The sequence below is a fragment of the Homo sapiens genome, chromosome 2, assembly GCF_000001405.40.
Source record: "Homo sapiens chromosome 2, GRCh38.p14 Primary Assembly".
Taxonomy (NCBI): domain Eukaryota; kingdom Metazoa; phylum Chordata; class Mammalia; order Primates; family Hominidae; genus Homo; species Homo sapiens.
Genome location: NC_000002.12, coordinates 178,707,526 through 178,730,863, shown reverse-complemented (window position 1 = coordinate 178,730,863; position 23,338 = coordinate 178,707,526). Strand labels below are relative to the sequence as shown.

The following is a 23,338-nucleotide window of genomic DNA, read 5'->3' as shown; positions in this document are numbered from 1 at the left end:
TTAAAAAAAAAAACAAAAACAAATTAGTAGATTGACCTTTTTTTGTTGTTGTTTGCTTTTTCATTGAATAGATCTTATCATACCTCCTTCATTCACCAAAAAGCTGAAGAAAATGGACAGCATTAAAGGTTCTTTCATTGATTTAGAATGTATAGTGGCTGGGTCACATCCCATAAGCATCCAGTGGTTCAAAGATGACCAAGAAATATCAGCTAGTGAAAAGTACAAATTCTCTTTTCATGACAATACTGCCTTCTTGGAAATCAGCCAGCTGGAAGGTACAGACAGTGGGACATACACTTGTTCTGCCACAAATAAGGCAGGGCACAACCAATGCAGTGGGCATCTGACAGTCAAAGGTTGGCAAATTTTATTTCCACTTATCAAGAACTTACAAAATATTTTTGTTTCATTTCTAAATTTTCACCTTTATTGCTAAGTTATAAAATAAAACTTCCTATTTTCTTTTGCTTGTTTTTTCTTTCACCTCAGAACCCCCTTACTTTGTGGAAAAGCCACAGTCACAAGATGTCAATCCCAACACAAGGGTACAGTTAAAGGCTCTTGTGGGTGGCACTGCACCCATGACAATAAAGTGGTTTAAAGATAACAAAGAGTTACACTCAGGAGCAGCCCGCTCAGTTTGGAAGGATGACACCTCTACCAGTCTAGAGCTCTTTGCAGCCAAAGCTACCGATTCTGGAACCTACATTTGCCAACTAAGCAATGATGTTGGCACAGCAACCAGCAAAGCCACTCTCTTTGTAAAAGGTCTGGTCTCTACATCTCCTCACTTTCTTGCTTGTCTAGATTTTCTTGCCTGGGGTGGGCCGGGGCGGGGGACGCTTAAGACAGCAGTTTTGCCCAGTGACCTGTTTTTAAAAATATTCAACATCACAATTCTTTTTCCATCTTTAGAACCTCCTCAATTCATTAAGAAGCCCAGTCCAGTCTTAGTGCTGAGGAATGGACAGTCAACAACATTTGAATGCCAAATAACAGGCACTCCTAAAATCCGAGTGTCTTGGTATCTAGACGGGAATGAAATAACAGCCATTCAGAAACATGGCATTTCCTTCATTGATGGTTTAGCCACTTTCCAGATTTCTGGTGCCAGGGTAGAAAATAGTGGGACTTATGTGTGTGAAGCTCGAAATGACGCAGGCACGGCGAGCTGCAGCATTGAACTCAAAGTGAAAGGTTCGTGAATGGAATCTATTCTCCATTTTGGCTGTGCTGCCTGATAAGTTTGGGGTCTTCCCTTGAGTAAGCTACTGTCTTCCTTTTGAATCTTTAGAACCCCCCACCTTTATCAGAGAGCTGAAGCCTGTGGAGGTAGTAAAATATAGTGACGTGGAGCTGGAGTGTGAAGTTACGGGAACACCTCCGTTTGAAGTCACTTGGCTGAAGAATAACAGGGAAATTCGAAGCAGCAAAAAATACACATTGACCGACAGAGTGTCTGTGTTTAACCTCCATATAACCAAGTGTGACCCTTCAGACACTGGGGAATACCAGTGCATTGTATCCAATGAAGGCGGCAGCTGCTCATGCAGTACTAGAGTTGCCCTGAAAGGTCAGTTATACAAGAAGCAGCCTATCAAATAAAAATTCTGTAACGCTTTTAAATCTTATCATTATGGGTAGGAGTTACAATATGTTTCTTCTTTTCACACTCTCTTATTTAATCACAGAACCACCATCATTCATTAAGAAGATAGAAAATACCACTACTGTTTTGAAAAGTTCTGCCACCTTTCAGAGTACCGTGGCAGGTTCTCCTCCTATTTCTATAACCTGGCTAAAGGATGATCAGATTCTTGATGAAGATGATAATGTCTATATTTCATTTGTGGACAGTGTGGCCACACTTCAAATCAGAAGTGTGGATAATGGACACAGTGGGAGATATACCTGTCAAGCCAAGAATGAGTCAGGAGTTGAGAGGTGTTATGCTTTCCTTTTAGTACAAGGTTTGTAAGCTATTCTCTTTCAAAGATAGTCTATAGCGACAGTTTCATTAGCAGACATTATTTCTAGTGGAGTTACCAATGTAACTCATCCACATTTTCATTTTTACTACAGAACCAGCTCAAATCGTAGAGAAAGCTAAATCAGTTGATGTTACGGAGAAAGATCCCATGACCTTGGAATGTGTTGTGGCTGGAACACCAGAACTCAAAGTGAAATGGCTTAAAGACGGGAAACAAATAGTTCCCAGTAGATACTTTTCAATGAGTTTTGAAAATAACGTGGCCAGTTTTAGAATTCAGTCAGTAATGAAGCAGGACAGCGGTCAGTACACTTTCAAGGTGGAAAATGACTTCGGAAGCAGTAGCTGTGATGCCTACTTAAGAGTGCTAGGTTTGTATCTTCACCCCAGTCAGCTTCCCTTATTTATAGTATGTCCTTTGTAAACAAATAGCAAGAGATTAATGGATGTGTTTTGCTGTTTGCATTGGACAGATCAAAATATTCCTCCATCATTCACCAAAAAATTAACCAAAATGGATAAAGTTCTGGGCTCTTCTATTCATATGGAGTGCAAGGTGTCTGGTTCACTTCCCATTAGTGCTCAGTGGTTTAAGGATGGAAAAGAAATATCTACAAGTGCAAAATACAGACTTGTGTGCCATGAGAGATCTGTGTCTCTGGAAGTTAATAATCTGGAATTAGAAGATACTGCAAATTACACATGCAAAGTGTCAAATGTAGCAGGAGATGATGCATGCAGTGGCATCTTAACTGTGAAAGGTTAGAATTTCTTTACCTCTTCTTGATTCTTCCTTGCGAATGCTTCTTAAATGTATCACTCTTGCCTTTGTATCCTTTAGAGCTAAAATCTCTATGATTCTGGTTCTTTAGATACATATTCATTGTGTTCAAGAAATATTCAGCCATTGCCTCTTTCCAAGAGTGTTTTCTTAAATGTCCATAAAACTGTCACAATAATTCAACTGCAAGCAATTTAATTAAATATATCTCTCTTAAAATCTATAGAACCACCAAGCTTCCTAGTGAAACCTGGGCGACAGCAAGCCATACCTGATTCTACAGTGGAATTTAAGGCAATACTAAAAGGAACACCACCATTTAAAATAAAATGGTTTAAGGATGATGTGGAACTTGTCTCAGGTCCTAAATGTTTCATTGGCTTGGAAGGGTCGACTAGCTTCTTAAATCTCTACTCAGTGGATGCTTCTAAGACTGGACAGTATACTTGCCATGTTACCAATGATGTTGGTAGCGACTCTTGTACTACGATGTTGCTTGTGACAGGTGTGCAAATTTGATTCCTTTATGTTTCTGTCTGACTGTGTCTTTGGTTCTCTGTATTCAGTTACAATGTCTCTAAACAATCAAGAAAGTAGTATTCTTTCTAACATAGTAAACAGTATTTGCTCATGTTTTTCTCTTGCCTGTATACTATCTAATTTAACTATTGTTATTTATTTCTGTTCCCTGATACTCTCCTCTTTCCTGACTCTTTAGAACCACCAAAGTTTGTAAAGAAATTAGAAGCCTCCAAAATTGTGAAAGCAGGTGACTCTTCACGACTTGAATGCAAGATAGCTGGATCCCCAGAAATCAGAGTTGTGTGGTTCCGAAATGAACATGAACTTCCAGCCAGTGATAAGTACAGAATGACTTTCATTGACTCAGTGGCCGTCATACAGATGAACAATCTCAGTACTGAGGACAGTGGAGATTTCATTTGTGAGGCTCAGAATCCCGCTGGCAGCACAAGCTGCAGTACCAAGGTTATAGTAAAAGGTAGACATCTTGTTCTTGTGTTTCTCATTAAATGAAAACCACCTTCTCCCCTGGGTATTATAGCTCTTTATTCATTTACTATCATTTTAGTTTCCATTTGAGATCATAGAATATTTTTCTGAGCTAGTATTATTTCCCTTTTTAGATGGTTTCCTTCTTGAATTTTGCTTACATGTAACTAGTCATTATGAAATATTTTTGTTATTCCAGTGTCATAATTCTGATTACCTCAACACATTTGCCAAACATCAAACGTGATGTTTCAAAACTGCACAAAAAAATGAAGTAGGCATTTTAAAATTAGTCTTTTGCTTTCAATCAACTTACAGATATATCATTCTCACTATAATCTATATCATTAATAACAAGCACTTTTACTATATCTATGCAAAGTGAAAGCAATACAGGTTTTAAACTTATGTTTAAAACAGGACAATAATATTTTTTCCTTCTCTCTCAAGGATCACTTCCTATCCTTTAAAAATTATATGACTATACCTTGGTACAAATAGTATCTGTGTTTTTTTGCTGCAATTTTCCAGTGCTTTTTTTTTTTGTCACAAAGGCCAAGTTTGTCTTGTTTTAAGACAATTATTGCAGTAATCATTTGCTGAAATGGAAGACTTAGATCACGGATGTTGTGATGACTTCCAAGTGTCTGTTATAGAACATATACAAAAAAAATCATCCTTGAAATTAGAATTCCATACTTCATGCAAATCATTATTTATTGCTATACTTGCTTGTTTGCAATTTTTGTATCAATCTTTGTAGCCTAAGATACATCAGTAAGGTGTAGTAGATAGAATGTTGAACTGTTCAGTAACGACATCTAGGATCTATCTGGGTTCTCTGCCCATCTAGCTGGTTATCTTGTGAAGGCAAATGGCTTCTGAGGCTGTTATCCCATGAGAGTGTTAGTGCTGGACTCTACTTACCCATTAGAATATCTTAAACCTTTCTTCCAATTTAAAGACAAATAAAAAATTTTCATTTTGTGAAATTCAGTAGCCCAATTCATGAGAAATTCTTGTTTTTTGCAGAGCCACCTGTTTTTAGCAGCTTCCCTCCTATAGTAGAAACCCTTAAAAATGCTGAAGTCAGTCTTGAATGTGAACTTTCGGGAACACCACCGTTTGAGGTGGTATGGTACAAAGACAAGCGGCAACTCAGAAGCAGCAAGAAATACAAGATTGCATCCAAAAACTTCCACACAAGTATTCACATTCTCAATGTGGACACTTCAGACATCGGTGAATACCACTGCAAAGCACAGAATGAAGTGGGAAGTGATACTTGTGTTTGTACTGTAAAATTGAAAGGTAAATATAGTTCATCCACATGGCAGAAATGTCATAAATGTGCAAAATCCTACTTTTTTCACTCTCGCATGATCTGGACAATCTTTTCAACAATTTCCATCCATCTTTTCCTGTTCAGAACCACCAAGATTTGTCTCCAAACTGAACAGCCTCACTGTTGTAGCCGGAGAGCCTGCTGAATTACAAGCATCCATAGAAGGCGCCCAGCCTATTTTTGTCCAGTGGCTTAAAGAGAAGGAAGAAGTGATTAGAGAAAGTGAAAACATCAGGATTACATTTGTGGAAAATGTTGCAACTCTACAGTTTGCAAAAGCAGAGCCAGCTAATGCTGGAAAGTATATCTGCCAAATCAAGAATGATGGTGGAATGAGGGAGAACATGGCCACACTGATGGTCTTAGGTTGGTACAATAGCCCACGATAGAAACTGGTGCCAAATGCTGGAATGAATTACTAAGAGTTACTGGCAGATTCTTTTTCTGAGTTTCTTCTAGAACTATATTTATCCTCATCTATTTGAAAGGTCTAGAGGAAAGACATAGTTGATCTTTCAAACACTCTTTTCTGTTTCTGTGATTCTAACAAAAATTAGACATCTGTTTTATTGTTTAATAACTACCTGTCTATATCAATTAGCAGATACAATCATGACTCTCTTTGATTAAGCATGAAAGAATACAGAGCCCAGCATGTGCTACAAGAGTAATTGTTAAAACTAACAAGAACTCCAAAGGTTGGCATTTGATAGCAAAGCTTCCACATAAAATTAATGACAATTAAACAATTGTTTGAATAACAACTTTCAAAGAATTGTCTTTAGCACCTTAAGGTAGAGCAAAAATACCAAGTAATTCACAATAACCTGTAGACTTTGATCTACAGAGGGTCAAGTGGAAATCAATATATACTATCTAATGCACATTGTTTAAATTGTTTTGAAGTTGAGTCATGCACGAACATATATTTCTTAAGAATAATTGCTACATAAGACGACAGCAAGAGTGGTGGGAAAAACAAAAAATAAAGAAAAAACTGAAAAGAAAAAATATTAAAATAAAAAATAGCTATAATTCTATGACTGCATGTAATTATGGAATCACACTTTAAAGTCGAGAGAGAGAGCACCCTAACATAACCATCTCACTGGGAGAAACAATCTTAGTGAATGTGATAGTAGAGACAGAGTAAAGATCCCAGACTTTGACAGATGGATATCACGTTTTATTTCAGAGCCCGCAGTCATTGTTGAGAAGGCAGGACCGATGACGGTGACTGTAGGAGAAACGTGCACTCTGGAGTGTAAGGTGGCTGGCACTCCGGAACTCTCTGTTGAATGGTACAAGGATGGAAAGCTGTTGACCAGCAGCCAAAAACACAAATTTAGCTTCTACAACAAAATCTCTTCCTTAAGGATTCTCTCAGTTGAAAGGCAAGATGCAGGCACATACACTTTCCAGGTTCAAAATAATGTTGGGAAAAGCAGCTGCACAGCTGTGGTTGATGTTTCAGGTTAGTTCTGCTGTTTTCTTCTGGTTGCTTATGCAAATTCCTTTTACAAGTTTCCTTCTTTCAAGTCTCTTCTATTCTTTCAAATCATGATGAGTCTCTTACCTTTCCTCACACAGACCGAGCAGTTCCTCCCTCTTTCACACGAAGACTGAAAAATACTGGTGGGGTGTTAGGTGCTTCTTGCATCTTGGAATGCAAAGTAGCTGGATCATCACCTATTTCAGTTGCCTGGTTTCATGAGAAAACCAAGATTGTCAGTGGAGCAAAGTACCAAACCACATTTTCAGATAATGTCTGCACATTGCAGTTGAATTCTCTGGATTCCTCAGATATGGGCAATTACACATGCGTGGCTGCTAATGTCGCTGGGTCTGATGAATGTCGTGCAGTGCTAACTGTACAAGGTCAGTAGACAGTCAAACTTGTAAGGAATTTCTTACAAATTCCTCTTCAGGTGCACATCTATGTTGACAAACATTTGAAAGTGCTCTAATGTTTTATTCAAAATTGCAACTCCATCTGAAGCTTACAGGATCTTTTAATTGTTCTCCATGTCTATATAGAACCACCCTCTTTTGTGAAAGAACCTGAACCTTTGGAAGTACTACCAGGCAAAAATGTAACCTTCACAAGCGTTATTAGAGGAACCCCTCCATTCAAAGTCAACTGGTTCAGAGGTGCCAGAGAACTAGTGAAAGGAGACCGGTGCAACATCTATTTTGAAGACACTGTGGCAGAACTGGAATTATTTAATATTGACATATCTCAGAGTGGGGAATACACCTGTGTGGTTTCTAACAACGCTGGCCAAGCATCTTGCACTACCCGTCTCTTTGTGAAAGGTTTGCTCAAGTGGATTCACTTTTTCTGTTTTCTGTATACCGACATCCTTGTGTTTTTCTTGTGTTTAACTGCTGTGCTTTGTCACTTACTAGAACCAGCTGCATTTTTGAAGAGATTAAGTGATCATTCTGTAGAACCAGGGAAGTCCATAATTCTGGAGAGCACCTACACTGGAACACTTCCAATTTCTGTCACTTGGAAAAAGGATGGTTTTAACATAACTACCTCTGAAAAATGTAACATAGTCACAACAGAGAAAACTTGTATCCTGGAAATTCTGAATAGCACAAAAAGAGATGCAGGGCAGTATTCCTGCGAGATTGAAAATGAGGCAGGAAGGGATGTTTGTGGAGCTCTGGTATCTACATTAGGTGTGTTGTCTTATTGTCTCTTAAATCATTTGCATTCTTCTAACATGTAGCATAGTTTCTTTGATATTCATTAATTCCAGTTGCTAACTGTGAGCCTTTCTTCCTTAGAACCGCCTTATTTTGTTACGGAACTGGAACCTCTGGAGGCAGCAGTTGGAGATTCGGTTTCTTTACAATGCCAAGTTGCTGGGACACCAGAAATTACAGTGTCTTGGTACAAAGGAGATACCAAATTACGGCCAACTCCTGAATACAGGACCTACTTTACAAACAATGTGGCCACACTTGTTTTTAATAAAGTGAACATCAATGACAGTGGAGAGTACACATGCAAAGCAGAAAATAGTATAGGAACTGCTTCTTCTAAGACTGTGTTCAGAATTCAAGGTGATGATATTTTACAAATTAAAAAAATTCTTTTTTCCTTAACTCTTGTATCTTTATGGTGAACTTCTCATTTCATCTCCTAACACCTTAAGTATTACATGTCTCCCTACAGAGCGCCAACTCCCACCTTCTTTTGCAAGACAATTAAAGGACATTGAACAAACTGTGGGGTTACCTGTTACACTCACTTGTCGATTAAATGGCTCTGCACCCATCCAAGTGTGCTGGTATAGAGATGGAGTACTTTTAAGAGACGATGAAAATCTACAGACTTCATTTGTAGATAATGTGGCAACTTTAAAAATTTTGCAAACTGACTTGAGTCACTCTGGCCAGTACTCTTGCTCAGCTTCCAACCCACTTGGAACAGCATCTTCTAGTGCTAGACTCACAGCAAGAGGTTTGTTCACACGTCACTCTTTTTCTTTGCAAACTGTGGCTTCATATTTCATTGTCAAAGTAGAAACGACCAATGGCAAAAAAACAAACAAAAAATACACATTGCCTTTCTTCTCATCCTCCAGAACCCAAGAAATCTCCCTTCTTTGACATCAAGCCTGTATCTATAGATGTTATTGCTGGAGAAAGTGCTGATTTTGAGTGTCATGTTACTGGTGCTCAACCGATGCGAATCACTTGGTCAAAAGATAACAAGGAGATCCGTCCTGGAGGAAACTATACAATCACATGTGTGGGAAACACTCCTCATTTGAGAATTCTTAAAGTAGGCAAAGGAGACTCTGGTCAATATACTTGCCAAGCAACCAATGATGTTGGCAAAGACATGTGCTCAGCTCAGCTCAGTGTAAAAGGTATCATTCCATGACTTTTGACAATATTTGTTCCTTACCATATTTGCATAATTGTCTTATAAAAGTTTCTTTGGTTTTTAAATGTTTGAGAGAAACTAACTGGACATGTTAGAATTTGTGTATTAGTGTTGGAGGCAACATTAATCAAAGTTGTGTTTTCTCTTTATATTGTTCTTTACATTAGTGTAACTCTAAGTGTAATCTTATCAAAAAGTATTGTTTAATTGAAATTTGTTAAATGTTGTTTTAACTATCTAGTCCATTTTTTAATGCTTTCTTGTTATATGGCATTCTGATTTATCATTACTAAATGTTGATCAAATACATCTATAATACATTAACTTTTATGTTTTAACTTACATAGTCAAACTAAAAAAAAGAATCAACTAAATTCTCTATTAAAAATGCACATGTACCCTAAAACTTAAAGTATAATAATAATAAATTTTAAAAAACTAAAAAAAAAATGTTATGAGATTATTTAACTTAAAAGATAACTTATTTTACTGTAAAATCCTCAGAAAGTATATTCTTAATAACAAACCAGTTTAAATATAAATTTATGGGATCTTCAGCTACAAAAACAAGCTCTTTTAACATGTATAATAAATATCCCTTACTGACTGTTTTGTTTGGTTTACTAGAACCTCCAAAGTTTGTTAAGAAATTAGAAGCTTCAAAAGTTGCAAAGCAGGGAGAATCCATTCAACTGGAATGTAAAATAAGTGGCTCCCCAGAAATCAAAGTTTCATGGTTCCGAAATGACAGCGAACTTCATGAAAGTTGGAAATACAACATGTCATTCATTAATTCTGTGGCATTGCTTACGATCAATGAAGCTAGTGCTGAAGACAGCGGGGACTACATTTGTGAGGCTCATAATGGTGTTGGTGACGCCAGCTGCAGCACAGCGTTGACAGTGAAAGGTTAGACACACTAAGCTTCTTTGTTTCTTTATTCTCCTCTGATTTGGGCTCTTAGCAAAGTTATGAGTTCCAAAATAAAAGGATAATTAAGGTTATTTGGTTGCAATTCTTCAACAAGTTTTAATGAATTGTCATTTCTTGTGTCAGCATGTATTGTCATATGATCACACCAGTCACTCTTCAAGGTTCTAGATTTAATTTTTTTTTCCTTTATAGTAAGCAAGTGTTCTCATTGTTTATCTCCTTTTTTCTGGTAGCACCTCCTGTTTTCACCCAGAAGCCTTCTCCAGTAGGAGCTCTTAAAGGTTCTGATGTGATTCTCCAATGTGAAATTTCGGGAACTCCCCCATTTGAAGTAGTATGGGTTAAAGATCGAAAGCAGGTTAGAAACAGCAAGAAATTTAAAATCACTTCAAAACATTTTGATACAAGTCTTCATATCCTTAATCTTGAAGCCTCCGATGTCGGGGAATATCACTGCAAAGCTACTAATGAGGTGGGAAGTGACACGTGTTCTTGCTCTGTCAAGTTCAAAGGTTTGTATACATGGACACAAAAATATATGCCCCTTCCTCCTATCTGTTCTTGCCTAACTAATAACTTGTGTGGCCATGATTCTCACATTTTTTCCTCTAACCACAAATTTCTTTCATCAGAACCTCCACGATTCGTGAAAAAGCTAAGTGACACCTCAACCCTTATTGGGGATGCTGTTGAGTTACGGGCCATAGTGGAGGGCTTCCAGCCAATTTCTGTTGTCTGGCTGAAAGATAGAGGTGAAGTCATCAGAGAGAGTGAAAATACCAGGATTTCATTCATTGATAACATTGCAACCCTCCAGCTGGGGAGTCCAGAAGCATCTAATTCTGGAAAATATATATGCCAAATCAAAAACGATGCTGGAATGAGAGAATGCTCTGCAGTCTTGACTGTACTAGGTTAGTAGCAAAGCACAGCCAGAGAAAAAATCAATTTACTTGATCCATGATCATTTTCCTCAAATATTCCTCTTATCCAGTAATTCAGTGATTGCACTCTTGAGTTTGAAAGGTTACTTTGTTTTCAATGCAAAATACTTCTTCTTTTAGAACCAGCAAGAATCATAGAGAAGCCCGAACCCATGACTGTCACTACTGGAAATCCTTTTGCATTAGAGTGTGTAGTGACTGGAACACCAGAACTCTCAGCCAAGTGGTTCAAAGATGGAAGAGAATTGTCTGCAGACAGCAAACATCACATTACATTCATCAATAAAGTGGCTTCCCTTAAAATCCCCTGTGCCGAAATGAGTGACAAAGGATTATATAGCTTTGAAGTGAAAAACAGTGTTGGCAAAAGTAACTGCACTGTATCCGTCCATGTTTCTGGTGAGTAGAATGAGATTTTTATGAATATACAATATTTCCAGGGGGTGGAGGGGCACAGAATAAAACTTCTCTTTAAACGCAAAACTACCCTTCCCCACATAGATCGGATTGTGCCTCCTTCCTTCATCCGCAAGCTGAAAGACGTGAATGCCATCCTGGGGGCCTCAGTTGTTTTGGAGTGCCGAGTCTCTGGCTCAGCCCCGATTTCAGTTGGCTGGTTTCAGGATGGAAATGAGATTGTTAGTGGGCCCAAATGTCAGTCCAGCTTTTCGGAAAACGTCTGTACTTTGAATCTGAGCTTGTTGGAGCCCTCCGACACAGGCATATACACGTGTGTGGCTGCCAATGTAGCTGGTTCCGATGAGTGCTCAGCAGTCCTGACTGTGCAAGGTCAGTGTGCAAGGATAAAGCTGCTGCTTCTCTAACACCTCTTTCATGTGGACGTGGTGCCTGCCTTCCCTGGAGTTTCTTTATTTTGTCTTCATGTTTAGTCTTAGCTCCCTTTTTTTAAGGAGCAAAAGCACTTCTCACTTGGATTTCTTTCTTCTCTTTATCTCCCCTTCCGCCTTGCAATATCTAGAACCACCATCTTTTGAACAAACCCCTGATTCTGTGGAAGTTTTGCCTGGAATGAGCCTCACATTCACCAGTGTCATCAGAGGCACCCCTCCTTTCAAGGTCAAGTGGTTTAAAGGCAGCAGGGAACTGGTGCCTGGGGAGTCATGCAACATCTCTCTGGAAGATTTTGTCACAGAACTGGAGTTGTTTGAGGTGCAGCCATTAGAAAGTGGAGACTATTCTTGCCTCGTTACAAATGATGCTGGCAGTGCTTCCTGTACCACACATCTTTTTGTGAAAGGTTTGCTCTTTCCCCCAATATATACATCTTTTAAAATTTCTCTTAAGTCTTCATTAGAAGGCAAGAATTTTACCCACATGTTTTCTCCTTATAGAACCAGCCACCTTTGTGAAAAGATTGGCTGATTTCAGTGTTGAGACAGGAAGCCCCATAGTTCTCGAGGCCACATACACTGGCACACCTCCAATCTCAGTGAGCTGGATAAAGGACGAGTATCTTATTTCACAATCTGAGAGATGCAGTATTACTATGACAGAAAAATCTACCATACTGGAAATTCTTGAGAGCACAATAGAGGATTATGCACAGTACAGCTGCCTGATAGAAAATGAGGCTGGTCAAGATATCTGTGAAGCTCTGGTGTCTGTCTTAGGTGTGTTGACAGCTACCTCTTTTTATTGCTCTCTTTCTTTTCAAACATCCTCTTTTACATGGCATGACTGACTTGCTGACTACCATCCTTTGTACCATAGAACCACCGTACTTTATTGAACCTCTGGAACATGTGGAAGCAGTCATTGGAGAACCTGCAACTTTACAGTGTAAAGTGGATGGAACTCCAGAAATTAGAATTTCTTGGTATAAAGAACACACAAAGCTACGATCAGCTCCTGCATATAAAATGCAATTCAAAAATAACGTTGCTTCCTTAGTAATCAACAAAGTGGATCACAGTGATGTGGGAGAGTATTCATGCAAGGCAGACAACAGTGTGGGGGCAGTCGCTTCTTCAGCTGTGCTTGTTATCAAAGGTGATGGTGTTGTTTAACCTAGTGTGTGTGAACAGATTCATTTTCTTAAAAACGTTAAAACTTTTATGAATTGAAATATGTTGTGGATGCCTTCTCACCTGTAAATAAGGATTATCTGTAACTTCTTTACAGCGCGCAAACTTCCACCTTTCTTTGCAAGAAAACTGAAAGACGTTCATGAGACTCTAGGCTTCCCAGTTGCATTTGAATGCCGCATCAATGGCTCAGAACCTCTTCAAGTGTCTTGGTACAAGGATGGGGTTCTTTTGAAAGATGATGCTAATTTGCAGACATCTTTTGTTCATAATGTAGCAACTCTTCAGATTTTACAAACTGACCAGAGCCACATAGGGCAGTATAATTGCTCTGCTTCTAATCCTCTTGGGACTGCTTCATCCAGTGCCAAGCTCATTCTCTCAGGTGAGTAACTCACAGTACCCTCTTCATTGTAAAGCAGCTTCACTGCTCCAGGCCACCAAAAGGCTGGTGCCATTTAGTTTCTGCTCTGTATGTGAGAGCATGGAAATAAAAATCACCATGTTGGTCTTCATTCTTTTCAGAGCATGAAGTGCCTCCTTTCTTTGATCTAAAGCCTGTATCAGTAGATCTTGCTCTTGGAGAAAGTGGTACTTTTAAATGTCATGTAACTGGGACTGCACCAATCAAAATCACTTGGGCCAAAGATAACCGAGAGATTCGCCCTGGAGGCAACTACAAGATGACTTTGGTAGAAAATACTGCCACTCTGACAGTTCTCAAAGTAGGCAAAGGCGATGCCGGGCAGTACACCTGCTATGCAAGCAACATCGCTGGAAAAGACTCTTGTTCTGCTCAGCTGGGTGTACAAGGTACTTGTTAGAGTGAAGGAGCAAGATCTCTTTTACATTTTCAGTATCTTAAAATATAGGAGGGTGGGTGTGCTTGAGAGAGAGCTATGTTTAGGACCAGGGTCTAGTGATGAAAATGGATCAAGTGGATCAAGGACCTTCCAAATGGAGACAAGTATTTTTTAATTACTTTAAAAAAAAAATTTAAAACTAGGAAAACATGGACCAAAAGTCCATTTTAAGAGACTAAAAATAGAGACTAGAGAGAGATAACCGAAACTCTACAAAATTGCAAGAAAATCCTAGTTTGAAAGACGGTATCATAGGACAAAAGCGAAGTTATTGCAAATGACTTTTTTCCCACAGTACTTAGTAAATGAATGGATTTTGTCCCTCTAAGGCATAGCAAAGAGCCAAACTATCAAGCCCTTCAAGGAGAATTCAGATGAGAATGATAAGTTCAACTTACTTTCCTCCACTAGCCCCACTTAAATAATAGTGGAGGTCAGGGGCTGGGGAGTAAGTAGATCAGTATCTGCTATTATGGAAGGCAGTCATGTGTTTCTGCCACATGTTTATCGCTGCTACTGTCAGAAATTAAATAGTTCACTCAATGGACTGCTAGTCTAGTCCATTAGAGTATTTTTAAGGGTTTTTGTAGTGGTGGTTTATAAATATCTTGAAATTAAAATATAATTAGATTTAGCAGCCCATTTGCTCTATGACATATAGCTAATCACTTTTACTTCCCTATGCCTGAATTTTTTGCTTCAGTTAATGAGGAAATCATTACTCTCACACACTTCAAAGGAAAATTATGAAGGTTGAGGAAATACCCATTTAACACCTAAAAGAGGAAAATGGCATTTTAAAAATATTAAGATATCTGACCCACTTTGCCATTCCGGCTCTTCATGCTATGTAACTGATAGCATTGCAGCCTTAGGAAATAGTTCTCCACTGGTTCATATACAAGACAGTAATCAAATTCTCATTCCCCGTGGACCTCAGAGGGCTTCCACTGACAGATACATGCTATTATCTCTGATCTTGGCACTAGAGAAGGGACTCTTTTGCTGGGGAGAGGATGGCACAATAAAGAGTAATGTCTTTTTCTCCTTCTTTTAGTAATAATACTTGATGTGGATGCTTACAAAAACAAGCATATTTTATTTTAGAAATTTTCTATTTAGGTTTCATTTAACTCTTCTTCCTTGAACTGCATAAATTTGTTTTCCAGAGCTAAAGACCTCTCTAGCAAAGATTATTTTTTCCACCTCATCTTGAATTATATGCATCTGTTCCATCCCTTACCCTGTGTTTTTCCTCTTGGTTCCATAGAACCACCCAGGTTCATTAAGAAGCTAGAACCTTCAAGAATTGTGAAACAGGATGAATTCACAAGGTATGAATGCAAAATCGGTGGGTCTCCAGAAATCAAAGTTTTATGGTATAAGGACGAGACTGAAATTCAAGAGAGCAGTAAATTCAGAATGTCATTCGTTGACTCGGTGGCTGTGCTGGAAATGCACAATCTCAGTGTTGAAGACAGTGGAGACTACACCTGTGAGGCCCACAATGCAGCAGGCAGTGCCAGCAGCAGCACATCCTTAAAAGTTAAAGGTCAGCGCTCTCCCCACCTGTGTGTTTTTCACATTAGCCTCCTCTTTAATTGTCCTCTTAACTTCCTGTTTGACTCTTCAACGATGTTTTAAAATAGGGAAAGGACACAACAAAGAATTGAAAGTGTTTTTTTCACTCTCTATCTCTCTGATGGAGTGGAAGATTGATTCTTACTTTTAACTATATACTTACAGAATACATCCGTATTTTCCTTTTTTCCAATTTTAGAACCACCCATTTTCCGCAAAAAGCCTCATCCTATAGAGACACTGAAAGGAGCTGATGTTCACCTTGAATGTGAGCTTCAGGGCACTCCCCCATTTCACGTTTCTTGGTATAAAGACAAGAGAGAACTTAGGAGCGGCAAGAAGTACAAGATAATGTCTGAGAACTTCCTAACCAGTATCCACATCCTGAATGTCGATGCTGCAGACATTGGGGAATATCAGTGTAAAGCCACAAATGATGTGGGAAGCGACACTTGCGTTGGTTCCATCGCTCTCAAAGGTTAGATGGACTGCATTCACTTCTGCTCACTACTTCCCTTCTAATTGTAATACTCTGTTGCCCCCTCCACCCCAGCCCAGTCTTATCACTAGCAGCCTATTCCACTTTCCCTTTGTTTCCTCTCCAAGTCCTTTTCTGTTTAGTCTGCTTCCCTTTTCCAAATCCTACTGAATATCCTTTTAGATAATGTTGTAATTAGGTTTTGATTGGATTAAGAAAGCTGGAGTAGATGAGATATTCAACTTTCCTACTGAATACAAACTTTAATGTGTCCCTGCTCGCATCCACCAAAAATGCCTCTTAAATGGAAATAACACATTATCACTAGTTTGATTCCCGGCATTCACGATTTGAGCAAAATGCTGTCAGTCTCACAAATTTTAAAACCCAGGCTTTCCTCCTTTTTCATCAGCACCACCAAGATTTGTGAAGAAGCTCAGTGACATATCTACTGTCGTTGGTAAAGAAGTTCAGCTGCAGACTACCATTGAAGGCGCTGAACCCATTTCAGTGGTGTGGTTCAAAGATAAGGGAGAAATCGTTAGAGAAAGTGACAACATATGGATTTCTTATTCAGAAAACATTGCAACCTTACAGTTTTCAAGAGTGGAACCAGCCAATGCTGGAAAATACACTTGTCAGATCAAAAACGATGCTGGGATGCAAGAGTGCTTCGCCACGCTATCCGTTCTCGGTTAGTAAAAAGATGATGTTATCACAGATACAAGGCACACACTCACCAGGATCTGTATTTTCTTTAGTTTTTCAATTTGAGTTTAAAATATGGATATCTTTTACATTTCATTCCAGAGCCTGCAACAATTGTAGAAAAGCCAGAATCCATAAAAGTTACCACGGGAGACACCTGTACCTTGGAGTGTACAGTAGCTGGCACCCCTGAACTCAGTACTAAGTGGTTTAAGGATGGAAAAGAGCTAACAAGTGACAACAAATACAAAATAAGCTTCTTCAACAAAGTATCCGGCCTTAAGATCATCAATGTAGCACCGAGTGACAGTGGGGTATACAGTTTTGAGGTGCAGAACCCTGTTGGCAAAGACAGCTGCACAGCTTCATTGCAGGTTTCAGGTTGGTTGATTTCTTGGGCTTTTCCTTCATCATTATAATAATGTAGTTCCTGATTTTCATAAATGTATATGGGTTGTTACATCTTCTATAGGATAACATGAGTCCGACATCTTCTGAATCAGCAAATTCAGAGGCAATACCATCTGTAGAATTAGAAGAAAACCATGTTCAAAAGTTATATCCCTTTCTTTTTGAGGAATTTCCAAAATGATGATAGGAATGAAAAATAGTCCCTGGATAAGGTTAAAGCAGTCTTCATTTATGCTGAAATAATTCACCACATAATTCTTCACGGCAAAGAGAGAACAAAATCCCTAGCAAGTCAACCATCACATTCTGCCCACTGATTCTCCAAGCTTTTGATAGTGTGAACCCATAGAGGAGTTTTTAATACCGTCACAAAAGAGCCAAATGGATCTAGGGATAGTCCATCAAAAAGACAGTTCTCTCTTCAAGTCATTTTATAATTGTTGTCCTTTGTTTTTTTTGTTTTGTTTTGTTTTGTTTTGTTTTGTATCATTCAGACCGAACCGTTCCTCCTTCATTCACAAGAAAATTGAAAGAGACAAATGGTCTATCCGGCTCCTCAGTTGTAATGGAGTGTAAAGTCTATGGGTCACCTCCAATCTCTGTCTCCTGGTTCCATGAAGGAAATGAGATCAGTAGTGGAAGGAAATACCAGACCACCCTGACAGATAATACTTGTGCTTTAACTGTGAACATGCTGGAAGAATCAGACAGTGGTGACTACACATGTATAGCTACTAATATGGCTGGTTCTGATGAATGTAGTGCTCCTTTGACTGTGAGAGGTCAGTTTACAAAACAGTAAAATGAATTGCATTTCATAGTTTATTAAGCATGTTTGTCATAACAATTCACAAATACTAAACCTTTTCTGATATGTGCTTTTGTGTTTAGAACCACCATCTTTTGTTCAGAAACCTGATCCCATGGATGTTTTAACTGGGACCAATGTAACTTTCACAAGTATCGTAAAAGGAACACCTCCTTTCAGTGTTAGCTGGTTCAAAGGTAGCAGTGAACTAGTACCAGGTGACAGATGCAACGTGTCTTTGGAGGATTCAGTTGCTGAACTGGAGTTGTTCGATGTAGATACATCACAAAGTGGAGAATATACTTGCATAGTTAGCAATGAAGCTGGCAAGGCTTCTTGTACAACACATCTCTACATAAAAGGTTTGTCAGACTGCTCTTCTAGATTTATACGATTAGTAATTAGATGTGTCTTTGTCTGTATGTATATGTGTTTGATTTTATATTTTCAATTTGGTCACTTTAGCCCCAGCCAAATTTGTGAAGAGGCTGAATGATTACAGCATAGAGAAAGGAAAACCCCTGATCCTAGAGGGTACATTCACTGGAACTCCTCCCATTTCGGTTACCTGGAAGAAAAATGGCATAAATGTAACTCCTTCTCAGAGGTGTAATATAACTACGACTGAAAAATCGGCAATCCTGGAAATTCCAAGTAGCACAGTAGAGGATGCAGGACAATACAACTGCTACATTGAAAATGCCTCTGGAAAAGATTCCTGTTCAGCACAAATACTCATACTAGGTTTGTCATGATTGCACATTTTTATCTTTGTATACAATCGATGATCTGGCATGTCTCCTTCATGACTGATTGATTATCTCTCTTGGCTGCAGAACCACCGTATTTTGTCAAGCAGTTGGAGCCGGTTAAGGTGTCTGTTGGAGATTCTGCCTCTCTACAATGCCAGCTTGCTGGAACCCCTGAAATTGGGGTATCCTGGTATAAAGGAGATACAAAATTGAGACCCACTACGACTTACAAAATGCATTTTAGGAATAATGTTGCTACACTGGTTTTCAACCAGGTTGATATTAATGATAGTGGAGAATATATCTGCAAAGCTGAAAACAGCGTGGGAGAAGTTTCTGCATCAACTTTCCTTACCGTTCAAGGTGATTGCAATATTTTTAAAGTGAACGAATTTGTGTTTCTTTTGAACAAGATTTAAAATGTCTGGGGAGGCCTATTTTTTAGGAAAATCTTTCCAAAGGCTTAAAATTCTGCTTAAGTAATCCTATTTACAGTTAGTGGCTTATCTTTTTCTATGGATTCTACAGAGAGATAATATGACTAAATCTTTAATTGGAAGGATTATGCAATCATTTGCTTCTATAATTAAATCTTTTTTAAAAAGTGACCATATATTTTTAAATTCCACCCCGTAAGTATCTCATGCAAATTGCTAGAAGGCAGTCTTTAAAATTACAGGAATCTGCTGCTTGCCCAGAGACATGCCTTCAGCCAACCAATTGCTTTATTGGTTTTCATACTGTTTTGCACCTACTGTGCATTAGGGTTGGTCTCAGAGTGATACTTTTGCTCCAGAAATCTATATGCTTTTCTTTATCTCCAAGTTAATTCAAGAGACATTAATAATTCCTGATTTTTAATAGAAATTGCATATATACGTGCGTTTGTATATATATAATTGTGAGAAGAGCATTTAGTAAATTAAAGTATTTGTTACTTTTATTCTGTTCCTACAGAGCAAAAACTTCCACCATCATTTTCTCGACAATTGAGAGATGTTCAAGAAACAGTTGGACTGCCAGTTGTTTTTGATTGTGCCATAAGTGGATCAGAACCTATCTCCGTGTCTTGGTATAAAGACGGCAAGCCATTGAAAGACAGCCCAAATGTACAAACATCATTTTTAGACAATACAGCCACACTCAATATTTTTAAAACTGACCGGAGCCTTGCAGGCCAGTATTCCTGCACAGCTACAAACCCTATAGGCTCTGCTTCTTCCAGTGCCAGGCTCATTCTCACAGGTTTGTGGATTCTTAAACTTTCATTTCTAGAATTAAAGTATTATAATCAAATATGAACTTAGGGAGAAATTTCTATTTCAGTAAACTGACATGGTCCAGATATTGAGCCTGAAACCTTGTCTTTCTGCTCTACTATTAGAGGGGAAGAACCCACCCTTCTTTGACATCCGTCTTGCCCCTGTGGATGCTGTGGTGGGAGAAAGTGCTGACTTTGAGTGCCACGTCACGGGCACACAACCGATAAAGGTCAGCTGGGCCAAAGACAGCAGAGAAATACGAAGTGGCGGAAAGTACCAGATTAGTTATCTGGAAAACAGCGCCCACCTGACAGTCCTCAAAGTAGACAAAGGAGATTCTGGACAATATACCTGCTATGCTGTGAATGAAGTGGGAAAAGACTCTTGCACAGCTCAGCTGAATATAAAAGGTATCGTTTATTTTGCAAGTGGTCCAACAAAAGTGTAATCATTTTGTAGTATAGCCTGAAGGTGTCGTTTTTATGATGATGAATGCAATTTAGGACATTTTTAAACAAATGAAAAGAAAATGTTTAAGAGGAAATAAGTTTATCTAGAGAAGAAGTCATTTTTTAAATCTGTATTTCTTTCTTTCCTCGAGACAGGATCTCATTCTGTCGCACAGGCTGGAGTACAGTGGCGTGATCTCAGTTCACTGCAACCTCTGCCTCCTGGGTTCAAGTGATTCTTGTGCCTCAGCCTCCTGAGTAGCTGGGATTACAGGCGCCTGCCACCATGACCAACTAATTTTTGTATTTTTTGGTAGAAACGGGGTTTCACCATGTTGGCCAGGTTGGTCTGGAGCTCCTGACCTCAAGTGATCCACCCGCCTTGGCCTCCCAAAGTGCTGGGATTACAGGCATGAGCCACCACACCCAGCTTATAATCTATATTTCTAAAACTTTATATATTCCCTATGATACTGAGACTACCCCTTCTTTTTACAAATTTGTGATTCTCTAAATGGCCATGAGTTACTTCTTATCATCCACCTTGTAAGTCAAAGAACAGTTTAGAATAAGCTCGTAGAAGGAGGCTGAAATGTTTAGGAACATATTCTGATATAGTGTATTTAGTTGGTTAGCCTTGATTTTTAACTAAAAATATGAGGGTTTTTTTTCTTGAAAAGCTTCATATTAGTAATCTGCTTCTAGCTTCTACTTCATATATCCTTGCAATTTCTTATAGAGCGGCTCATCCCACCAAGTTTCACTAAAAGACTCTCAGAGACAGTAGAAGAAACAGAAGGGAATTCTTTCAAACTTGAGGGACGTGTGGCTGGTTCCCAACCTATAACTGTTGCCTGGTACAAAAATAATATAGAGATACAACCAACTTCTAACTGTGAAATAACATTCAAGAACAACACGTTAGTGCTGCAAGTCAGGAAAGCAGGCATGAACGACGCTGGTTTGTACACATGCAAAGTGTCCAATGATGCAGGCTCTGCTCTGTGCACGTCTTCAATCGTCATCAAAGGTGAGTTATCCTCACAGCCCCAACCTGTTGTGTTTTTCTTCACTGCCTGTTATATATCCATGAGCATTTCTTATGATATCTTGACCAAGTAAGTTATAACAAATATAAATACACATTATTTAACTGTGTATTTATCACTCCATATGTTTACTAAAAATATAAATTATTGTAATTTAATTATGTGGCTTCCCGAAGGAGGTGTCATTTAACGGACTAATATCTTAGGTTTCTAAATCATATCCTAAAATTCCTTTAGGTAGTTAGAAGTTTCAGCGTACTCTGAAATGTGTGCATATGTGACATATATTTTTATGAAGCACATTTGTTTTGAAATTTTTTTAATGTTCATCACCAAATATCACATTAACTTGACTATTATTGAGTTATATATTATATCACAGTCTGAAACTTTCTCCTTTCCAAGTGTATTTCTAAAGGATTATTGTTTAATGTATATTGCCCAAAGCGTTTGACCTGCAAACAAATATTAATCCCAGACAAAAGGGTAACATTTGCCCAAAAAGAAAAATAATGGGTAGAAAACATTGCATATCATTATGGAAGACATATTTAAATACACAATCATCGCTTGAGAAAATGAAATAGACCATGTTGTTTAAGGATATCTTTATCTGTTTCTCTTCACTGTAATGGCTTCCAGTAATTACAACATAGCTTCATCAAAATCACATTAAAAACTAACCTCCTAGAGCAGCCTGGAATTAATTACCAACTCTTATGATCTGGTTAGTTATCTCACAGTGCACAGGTAGTAAGTTATTATTAATAGGCTGATATCACTAATAAGTAAATATCACTGAGTTGTCTTAAAATTCCAGTTTCACCACTCATTTTGTGGAATTTAGATGCATTTAGTTTTAAAACACATTTTATAAAATGAAAAATATATACTTAGCAGTGGCTTATCTTCATGATTTACACTCATGATGGTTTTACCATGGGCAGATAAATGCTTTCTATAGAATTCTGAAGCTATTTATAAAATGTTTTTAAAGGATAGACATCAGAAGTTTTAATCTTTGCAATAACAAAAAAAATGGCCTTATTCTTTCTAGGTACAGGTCTCAGAACCATTGAACAAAATCATTACATAATACTGAGTTGTACATTGCCTTCCTATCATGTTACTCATCAATGTCTTCATCATTGGTCTTCAGTTAAACACTGAGCCTCAACTCCTAATTCCCTTGGGCTAAGATTGGATTTTAAATGCTACTGTGGCTGCATTTAATAGCTAAAGATGAACATCAGAGAAAATCACATATAAATATGTGGGCTCATGTATTACTCAAATGCTAGCTTTCTTTCCTAGAGGGTAGCAATCATTGCCGCTGGAGATAAGCAGAATTCCCAAATAAGCCCTTCATTTTCAGGGTTCAGCAAAAACACCGCTGTACACAGGTTTGAGAGAATTAATAGTGTGCTATATGGCAAAGAAGTTCATAGTAACTGCCAATGTCTGCAGTGCTTAGTAAGGACACAGAGGCTGGGGCAATTTGTGGGCAGCATGTGATGTGTTCTTTGCTTGTTTTTAAACCTTTATCTTTTTAAAAAATCCAACAAATTTAAACTATTGTCTTTAGAGAGGAATAAACCAGGCACATAATTCTGTCCTACTACAGCAACAGTGTTACCTGTTAGAGGCCAGTTTTTCTCTTTATTTGTTTCTCTTGTGGAATTTAATACTTTTTTGCCTTTATGTTCCTCATGAAAATACCTTTTCAATTCCAGAACCTAAGAAGCCACCTGTATTTGATCAGCACCTTACTCCAGTAACAGTGAGTGAAGGAGAATACGTGCAGCTCAGCTGCCATGTCCAGGGATCTGAGCCAATTAGGATCCAGTGGTTGAAGGCTGGCAGGGAAATAAAGCCTTCAGACAGATGCAGCTTCAGCTTTGCTAGTGGGACAGCTGTACTGGAACTCAGAGATGTGGCTAAAGCAGATTCGGGAGATTATGTGTGTAAAGCTTCAAATGTGGCTGGAAGTGACACTACCAAATCAAAAGTGACCATTAAAG

At 38.4% G+C, this 23,338-nt stretch overlaps 1 protein-coding gene and 1 long non-coding RNA gene across 21 annotated transcripts in view, besides 3 other annotated features; one reads left to right on the top strand and one right to left on the bottom strand.

The window, feature by feature from the left end:
* TTN (titin) overlaps positions 1-23,338 on the top strand; it is a 281,435-nt gene that overhangs the window by 76,560 nt on the left and 181,537 nt on the right. For 15 of the 20 annotated variants that reach the window (NM_133378.4, XM_017004821.1, NM_001256850.1 and 12 more), the window contains 40 exons: positions 72-359; positions 493-771; positions 919-1,200; positions 1,298-1,576; positions 1,695-1,973; positions 2,086-2,364; positions 2,467-2,754; positions 3,001-3,279; positions 3,493-3,774; positions 4,818-5,096; positions 5,215-5,496; positions 6,326-6,604; positions 6,721-7,008; positions 7,168-7,446; positions 7,540-7,818; positions 7,927-8,205; positions 8,318-8,605; positions 8,730-9,017; positions 9,662-9,943; positions 10,201-10,479; positions 10,600-10,881; positions 11,032-11,310; positions 11,413-11,700; positions 11,891-12,169; positions 12,264-12,542; positions 12,643-12,921; positions 13,054-13,341; positions 13,482-13,769; positions 15,090-15,371; positions 15,600-15,878; positions 16,291-16,572; positions 16,689-16,967; positions 17,492-17,779; positions 17,889-18,167; positions 18,271-18,549; positions 18,642-18,920; positions 19,515-19,802; positions 19,942-20,229; positions 21,008-21,298; positions 23,051-23,338. The exons of the other annotated variants lie outside the window; for them this stretch is intronic. In NM_133378.4, the coding sequence (NP_596869.4) occupies positions 72-359; positions 493-771; positions 919-1,200; positions 1,298-1,576; positions 1,695-1,973; positions 2,086-2,364; positions 2,467-2,754; positions 3,001-3,279; positions 3,493-3,774; positions 4,818-5,096; positions 5,215-5,496; positions 6,326-6,604; positions 6,721-7,008; positions 7,168-7,446; positions 7,540-7,818; positions 7,927-8,205; positions 8,318-8,605; positions 8,730-9,017; positions 9,662-9,943; positions 10,201-10,479; positions 10,600-10,881; positions 11,032-11,310; positions 11,413-11,700; positions 11,891-12,169; positions 12,264-12,542; positions 12,643-12,921; positions 13,054-13,341; positions 13,482-13,769; positions 15,090-15,371; positions 15,600-15,878; positions 16,291-16,572; positions 16,689-16,967; positions 17,492-17,779; positions 17,889-18,167; positions 18,271-18,549; positions 18,642-18,920; positions 19,515-19,802; positions 19,942-20,229; positions 21,008-21,298; positions 23,051-23,338 (11,301 nt within the window). The remainder of the gene's footprint in view (positions 1-71; positions 360-492; positions 772-918; positions 1,201-1,297; positions 1,577-1,694; positions 1,974-2,085; positions 2,365-2,466; positions 2,755-3,000; positions 3,280-3,492; positions 3,775-4,817; positions 5,097-5,214; positions 5,497-6,325; positions 6,605-6,720; positions 7,009-7,167; positions 7,447-7,539; positions 7,819-7,926; positions 8,206-8,317; positions 8,606-8,729; positions 9,018-9,661; positions 9,944-10,200; positions 10,480-10,599; positions 10,882-11,031; positions 11,311-11,412; positions 11,701-11,890; positions 12,170-12,263; positions 12,543-12,642; positions 12,922-13,053; positions 13,342-13,481; positions 13,770-15,089; positions 15,372-15,599; positions 15,879-16,290; positions 16,573-16,688; positions 16,968-17,491; positions 17,780-17,888; positions 18,168-18,270; positions 18,550-18,641; positions 18,921-19,514; positions 19,803-19,941; positions 20,230-21,007; positions 21,299-23,050) is intronic. 20 annotated transcript variants of the gene reach the window in all.
* Positions 598-1,797: an enhancer, noted in NCBI's record as "BRD4-independent group 4 enhancer chr2:179593794-179594993 (GRCh37/hg19 assembly coordinates)". NCBI's record gives its function as "activates an origin of replication core promoter dependent on BRD2, P300/CBP, MED14 and CDK7 cofactors, and independent of BRD4, by STARR-seq in HCT116 cells {active_cell/tissue: HCT116}" and the evidence as "EXISTENCE:reporter gene assay evidence [ECO:0000049][PMID:35650434]".
* Positions 2,999-4,198: an enhancer, noted in NCBI's record as "BRD4-independent group 4 enhancer chr2:179591393-179592592 (GRCh37/hg19 assembly coordinates)". NCBI's record gives its function as "activates an origin of replication core promoter dependent on BRD2, P300/CBP, MED14 and CDK7 cofactors, and independent of BRD4, by STARR-seq in HCT116 cells {active_cell/tissue: HCT116}" and the evidence as "EXISTENCE:reporter gene assay evidence [ECO:0000049][PMID:35650434]".
* Positions 6,030-7,229: an enhancer, noted in NCBI's record as "BRD4-independent group 4 enhancer chr2:179588362-179589561 (GRCh37/hg19 assembly coordinates)". NCBI's record gives its function as "activates an origin of replication core promoter dependent on BRD2, P300/CBP, MED14 and CDK7 cofactors, and independent of BRD4, by STARR-seq in HCT116 cells {active_cell/tissue: HCT116}" and the evidence as "EXISTENCE:reporter gene assay evidence [ECO:0000049][PMID:35650434]".
* The window catches only part of LOC124906100 (uncharacterized), a 71,929-nt gene continuing 65,209 nt past the window's right edge, over positions 16,619-23,338 (bottom strand). The window contains exon 2 of the long non-coding RNA XR_007087318.1: positions 16,619-17,110. This is a non-coding gene — a long non-coding RNA (uncharacterized LOC124906100). The remainder of the gene's footprint in view (positions 17,111-23,338) is intronic.